Below are 7510 nucleotides of genomic sequence, written 5' to 3'. Positions count from 1 at the left end.
CCATTGCACAATACACTCTGCTTATGAACCATGTTATAATAGGCCTGCAAAAAGTGCATGCTTGGTCAGCCACATTAAGCAGTACCATTTTATTTTCAAATTCTTTTAACTAAAATTTTATTGCTTATGTTGTGCTTTGGGATGAACTATATAAAATGGAATAAAATGCTTGGTAAATAGTTATTGAATTTAAAAAAATGAACACAAATCTCAGTATTGAGTTTAGAAAGATTTACTTCATTATTTTCACATACATGCTAAAATATCAAACTTAAGGAAATCTGAAGTAGCTTACTTTTCATGCTATCATTTACTAGATCTACTGAATAATTTTGAGGATATTGCAGGGAGACCCGGGTCCATAAATAGTTTTTTTTTCTCTTTCATTTCGCATCTTCTTCGTTTCAAAATTTTGAGTAGAGTTATATAAGTCCTTCAGAGTAGGCCTCTGATGCATGGGGGCTGAGAACATTATCATGAAGCTCACTTGACCTATAAGTGTCAACTTCAAGAAAATTTCTGCTACTAACTTTTGAAGATAAAATAGAACATCTAATGAACATTCAGAAGAGGAAGATATATATCCATTTCATGTAAGCTGACCTGGATTTCAGCTGCAGGATCTCTTCTTGACGCATTTATAACTCATTTTAATTGCTAATAGGTACTGTGTGTACACACCCAAGGCAGAATGGGACTAAGCCTCTCAGATTTACAAAGGTGAATTAACTTAAAATTAAACAATAGGTTTTTGTGAAAAGACATTTCATTTGACATAATCTAATGCTGAACCAAATAGATGTGATTGACAAGCCCCAATTATCCAAGAAAGTTGAAAGGACTAGTGACATTTTTATGCCCCATCTACATTACTTTAATTATTTAAAAGGGGAATTTGGTGATTTCATTTGCATAAAGTGCAGATAGTAGAAAGTATGTGGGCTTTGGAGTCAAACAGATCTGGATTTGAATTCCAGCTCAACTATCTAACCAAGAATGTGAGTAGGAGTGTGGGCATGTTTTAAATTCCCTGAGTCTCACTTTCCTCTTTTGTAAAGTCTGGATAATTATACTGACCTAGTGAGTATTGTTGTGAGAAACACAGAAAAAAGATATAAAATGTTTCATACAGTGCCTAGCATTTAGTAGGTGAAAAGGAAAGCATATTATCCTCCAAGTGTTCTTAGCTTGATCCATAGAGTAGGGAATACCGTCCTTCTGGAAATAATAGGAAGAGTGGGTCTCTCTCTCTCTTTCTCTCACTTTCTCTTCTTCTGCCTCCTCCTCCTCCTCCTCCTCCTCCTCCTCCTCCTCCTCCTCCTCCTCCTCCTCCTCCTCCTCCTCCTCCTCCTCCTCCTCCCTGCCTCCCTTCTCCTTCTCCTCCTCCTGACTCCAAGAAAGAAGTGATCTCCCTGGTGAGTTTGAGAGAAGAATCTGAACAAGATTAGCTCAGTGATGTTTGTGTCCTTTTTTCTTTCCAGGGCCACCTACTCTCAGATTATGCCCAGCACTGCCTGGGACTGGATGGCTAAATTTAATTCAGAAGTCTTTGCCGGGAAGTCCAATTATGGCCATAGACCAAACCAAGTTATTGAATTTATTGTTAACAGTAATGAACCTGGTATTTTGAGCTCCATCTGTCTGATACTTGCATTTACTTCTTAATTAGTTATGAAACCACAGTGTGTTGAAAAGCGTTAACATGATCACCACCAATTGCCCACCAGTAGGCAGTCAATAAATTATAGCTATTATCACAGACGTTTTTAACTGTACCCTCATGCTTTCTGTAGTAATTTGATCTATTCAGTATACAAAATGTCTGTCACTTAATGAACTCCTTATGGGGTATTGCTGTATACTTTAATTCCTTATTAATTAATTAGGAGAAAAATGGCCATTAGTATCTCCTATCTGGGTGAGTAGCATAACTGCCTCACAGTTTGTCAAAAGTGAAATTCACTTCAAATTGAGAAGAAATGTTAGGTTTGATTCCCCCTCAAGTTCAATTCTGCTTAGTCATACATTGTATGTATTCTTTCTAAGCCCAGACAATGTCTAATATATCAAAAGTAACTGGATTTAGAGGTATTACGAAGTAATAGTCTTCATCATAGAAAAACCAATTCTCTTATTGTAGCTTCACCTGGCTTGTGAGAAAATGTGCGTGTGTGTGTGTGTGTGTGTGTGTGAATTTAATTGTCATTTATACTTTGTGACATGAATACAGCAAGTGGCAGAACACAAACGTGTGAGTCCAAGGAAAAATATTAACAGTAGGATCCTTACTCCTTGGTAGGTCAAAAAGTTCTTTATCTTTTTGTTTTAATTAAGATAATGAAGGAATGAAAAAAAAAGAGAAGAGAAATATAGACAATAACATACAAGATCCCTTGTTCCTACCATGTCAATTGACTGTGTTAAAAAGACCAGAAGCAAATGTGAACAATATTATCAATATAAAAATAAACAACATAAAGATGAAGTTGGTTTGTATCTTCTCACCAGTTTCATTCTTTTTACCTCTCCCCAAATGCAGACATGTTGATGTGCATAGATCCAGTTTCTTGTAGATAACTACCTACATATTTACTCATGGGCAATATATAGGCTCGTTTTGTGAGAAAAATAATGTATGTATTATTATCTATTTTAACTAATTTCTTTTAGATTTTTCCATGTTGATACATAGACACCTATTTAATGACTCTTTCAGTTTAACTGGAACATAGTAGTCATCATATAAATACATCGAATTATATGTAGCAATTCTCCTAAGATGTTTCCAACTTTTTCACCAACACAAAGAAGCCACATTCTTGCAATAAATACCTTTCCTGGTCATGTTGCCTTCAGTGTTCTGAGTAGGTGCCCTATCTTTCTTTCGTAGTGCAGACTCCTGTTTTATTACTCCATGGCATTTAACACAATTTATAACATTGTATTTAGTTATTTTATTTGCCTTCAGTGTTCTGAGTAGGTGCCCTTTCTTTTCTTCTATAGTGCAGACTCCTGTTTTATTACTCCATGGCATTTAACACAATTTATAACATTGTATTTAGTTACTTTATTTATTGTTTACTTCTTTTACTTCTTCTTTTTTTTTTTTTTTTTTTTTTTTTTGATGAAGTCTCGCTCTTGTTGCCCAGGCTGGAGGGCAATGGCGCGATCTCAGCTCACTGCAACCTCCACCTCCCAGGTTCAAGCGATTCTCCTGTTTCAGCCTCCCGAGTAGCTGGGATTACAGGCGCCTGTCACCACGCCCGGCTAATTTTTTGTATTTTTAATAGAGACGCGGTTTCACCATGTTGGCCAGGCTGGTCTCTAACTCCTGACCTCAGGTGGTCTGCCCATCTCGGCCTCCCAAAGTGCTGGGATTACAGGCGTGGTGAGCCACCTCGCCTGGCCTATTGTTTACTTCTTTTTAATGACTAACTTCCTCACTAGATTGGTCTGTATGCAGGAACCGCGTTTGTTTTTGCTGCATTTTAAATGACTGTCATATAGCATATGCTCAATAAACATTTGTTGAATACATGAAAGAAATCAGAACAACAAATGGATGACTTTTTCCTTAAGGGGGATCATCTGCTAGGAAGTTGCTTATTCCTTTAGAAAAATATATTTCTGGCAGGCCTGCACCAACTGGTTAGCTAAAAATACCCAGACCTCTTTGGTTCCCCATTATTACTGTGGCTTAGACTTAATCTTGAATTTCTCCTATGTGAGATATAATCCAAGAAACCAGACCATGTATAGTTATCTCATTTCTCTGAATCTTAGAGCCACCAGTAATAGAAGTGAGTGTCATTGTAAATATAAAGTCATCCTCAGAACAAGATGGACCTTAAGACAAGCAAAAGCTACTACAGCAGATTTTACATTACCAGTAGCCTTTTACGGTTAGTCAAAGGAGCCCAATTTTTATTCCAGGACATTGCCTCCCAGAATGAACACTATCATTGTCAACTTCGTTGCAGCTAAGCAAAGCCCTGTCACTAAGTTCTGGCCAATGAGAGTGGAAGTGTCATTTGGGAGCTATGGGAAGTCTTCTTTAAAAAGGAGATGAATGCCCTTGTTCTGCACTCCTTTGATACTGTTTCCATGGCCATCTTGGACCATAAAGACTAGGGCTACCATCTAGGGTTGTGGAAATCATTCCCAGAACATGCTGGGGTCCCTAAGGACCATGTAGAACCATCATAGTAGCCCTCAATTGCCTACCTGTGGGCATTCTTTTATGTTAACTTTTATTTTAGGTTCAGGGGTACATGTGCAGGTTTGTTATATAGGTAAACTCATGTCATGGGGGTTTGTTGTACAGATTATTGTCACCCATGTATTAATCCTAGTACCCACTAGTTATTTTTCCTGATCCTCTGCCTCCTCCCACCCTCCACCATCTTATAGGCGCCAGTGTGCCTTGCTCCCCTATATGTGTCCATGTGTTCTCATCATTTAGTTCCCACTTAAAAGCAAGAACATACAGTATTTGGTTTTCTGTTCCTGCATTAGTTCGCTAAGGATAATGGCCTACAGCTCCATCCATGTTCCTGCAAAGGGCATGATCTCATTTTTTATGGCTGCATAGTATTCCATGGTGTATATGTACCACATTTTCTTTGACCAATCTGTCATTGATAGGCATTTAGGTTGACTCCATGTCTTTGCTATTGTGAATAGTGCTGCAGTGAACATACACGTGCATGTGTCTTCATGATAGAACGATTTCTATTCCTTTGGGTATATACCCAGTAATAGGATTGCTGGGTCCGATGGTAGTTCTGTTTATCCTTTGAGTAATCACCCCACTGCTTTTCATAATGGTTGAACTAGTTTACATTTCCACCAACAGCATATAAGCATTCCCTTTTCTCTGCAACCTTGCCAGCATCTGTTATCTTTTGATTTTTTAACAATAGCCATCCTGACTGGGGTAAGATGGTATCTCATTATGGTTTTAATTTGCATTTCTCTAATGATTAGTGATGTTGACCTTTTTTCATATAACTGTTGGTTGCACGTGTGTCTTCTTTTGAAAAAAGTATTCATGTTCTTTTCTGACTTTTTAATGAAGTTGTTTGTTTTTTGCTTATAAATTTGTTGAAGTTTCTTATAGGTTCTGGATATTAGACCTCTGTTGAATGTATAGTTTGCAAATATAAGTTCCCATTCTGTAAGTTGTCGCTTTACTCTATTGTCAGTTTCTTTTGTTGTATAGAAGCTCTTCAATTAGGTCACATTTGGGAATTTTTGTTTTTGTTGCAATTGCTTTTGGGATCTGTAACACCATGAAATCTTGGCCAGATCCTATGTCCAGAATGGTATTGCCTAAGTTATCTTCCAGGGTTTTTATGATTTTGGGTTTTACACTTAAGTCTTTAATCCATCTTGAGTTGATCTTTGTATATGGTATACAGAAGGGATCCAGTTTCAATCTTCTGCATGTGGCCAGCCCGTTATTCCAGCATCATTTATTGAATAGGGGGTCCTTTCCTCATTGCTTATTTTTGTCAGCTTTGTCAAAGATCAGATGGCTGTAGATGTGCAGCCTTACTTCTGGGCTCTCTCTTCTGTTCCATTGGTCTATGCGTCTGTTTTTGTACCAGTACCATGCTGTTTTGGTTACTGTAGCCCTGCAATATAGTTTGAAGTCATATTCTTTTTTAACATGAGAATTAACATTCCATATCCAGGTGACACTAATTCAAAGAGATATATTTAGCTAAAGCAATATCATCTTAGAAATCTTGCCTTTTGACAAAAAATATACAAACTGGCACAGAAGCCACTTAATAGCTCTGTAAACCTAAGCAGCTAACTCTTAAGGCTTTTTTTTTTCTTTTATAAAACTACAGGCTAAACTCAAAATTATATAAATTCTTTGTCTGCTATAGAATTCTGCCACTAGATCTAAATACAATCTCTCTGGATTGTTTTGGGGCTAACATTAGGAAGAAATAAAGCCTGTCTTTACAGTTTGGCAAAAGTTCATTAATTGGATTTTTTTTGATCATTTGAATGCAGGGTAGCCTGAAGTTTATCTTTGTACTATCTAAGAAAAACCTCAACAAATCTGCAAGGTAATTGTTGGCTTACTTTAGCAACCAACTGCTTCCTAATTGAAACTTGGCAGCTCCTATTTGCATAAAAACAGTTAATGTACTAATTTTAAATGATTTTTTAAAAATCCATTTGCTGAAATTGTCTGGCAAGACCTCATAATGTTACTCATATTGTAGTGAGGTGGTCCAAGACAGAACCTCGATATTTCTGATTCTTTGATGACTGGTAGTAGGGATAAAACTGCTTTTCCAAAATTGCAGGAAATTAGCTTCCTGGGGCTGGAAAAGTAAAAATGGGGCTGTGCCTTTCTCGTCCTTCTAGAAGGGATTACTTGTGAGCCTTATTGTCATGCAGAAGAATGTTAAGTACTTATTCTTTGTCCTTTGATATTGAAAGTAATCTAAGTGTAAATAAATCACAGTGGGATGCTAACTTATTCTAATAATATAAAGATATACTTTTGGTAGGGGTGTGGGGTTGGGAATCCAAGCCCTTGTTGATATCTAGAGATTTTCTATTTCCTCTGGCCTGACCTAGGACAAATGTATTCAAGAGAAAGATATCAGGAGAAGAAACTCTAGCAGCTGGCTTGCAAGAGACCCTACATATTGTTATGTGTCCTGTGGGTTTTGGGAGCAGCTATTTCTGATATTAAGCTAAATTTTCCTTTCTGAATTGTAATATTCTTACAAAATTCTCAAATTTCCAGTACAATGTGTTAACCACCAAACCTGATCGCAGGCTCGTGTTAACACTACCTTGGGGAGGGGAGAAAGGGACGCTACTGTTGCATTCAGACAGAAGTTTTTGAGAGCTGGTGTGGCTTGACTTAATGGTAAGCAGATAGATGAGATTCAGGAGTGATCCAGAGACACTGGAAGCAGCAGTATGGAACCAAAAGAAACAAGTGGAACAGATAAATTCATACTCTTCAGGAATCATTCAGAATACACAGGAGGGCTCTATATTACTCATGGTCACTGGGGTGAAGTTGCAAGTTATTTTACTTAGATGTTTAAGAAAGGTGATTTCTAGAAAGCTAGAAACTTGGGGCACTAGGTTTCCAATGATGATACAACTGCTATTTCTATTAAATGTCTATTCTAGTCCCATTGCAACATGCTTGATATACATAATCTCCTTTATTGCTCCAAACACATCTAAAAGGCAGCATTATCTTTATTACCAGATGAGGAAAATGCTTAGAAATACTTTGATAATTAGATGTTTGTCTTATTTTATGTTCTTGTAATAGAAGTATATTTATTTAACTCTTTTTTACCAGTTAATTCTGGCCTTCCTTGCAGTGGAATTTGAATTGGCATTTTGGTAGGCAGATTATAATACAACTGGTATAAGTTATTGATGGATAGAATTCATTTCCAAGAAGAAAATAGAAATATTTATGCAATTCCAAAATGTTTTTAAAATATTAATTATGCTT

General features: G+C 36.9%; 1 annotated feature.

Moving 5' to 3' along the window:
* Positions 6607–7190: an enhancer, noted in NCBI's record as "OCT4-NANOG hESC enhancer chrX:144884451-144885034 (GRCh37/hg19 assembly coordinates)". NCBI's record gives its function as "activates a minimal SCP1, AML or CMV promoter by ChIP-STARR-seq in naive H9 embryonic stem cells {active_cell/tissue: H9 hESC(naive)}" and the evidence as "EXISTENCE:reporter gene assay evidence [ECO:0000049][PMID:30033119]".

The sequence above is a fragment of the Homo sapiens genome, chromosome X (assembly GCF_000001405.40).
Source record: "Homo sapiens chromosome X, GRCh38.p14 Primary Assembly".
In the NCBI taxonomy this organism is placed as follows: Eukaryota; Metazoa; Chordata; class Mammalia; order Primates; family Hominidae; genus Homo; species Homo sapiens.
This window is presented reverse-complemented; position numbering and strand designations above follow the sequence as displayed.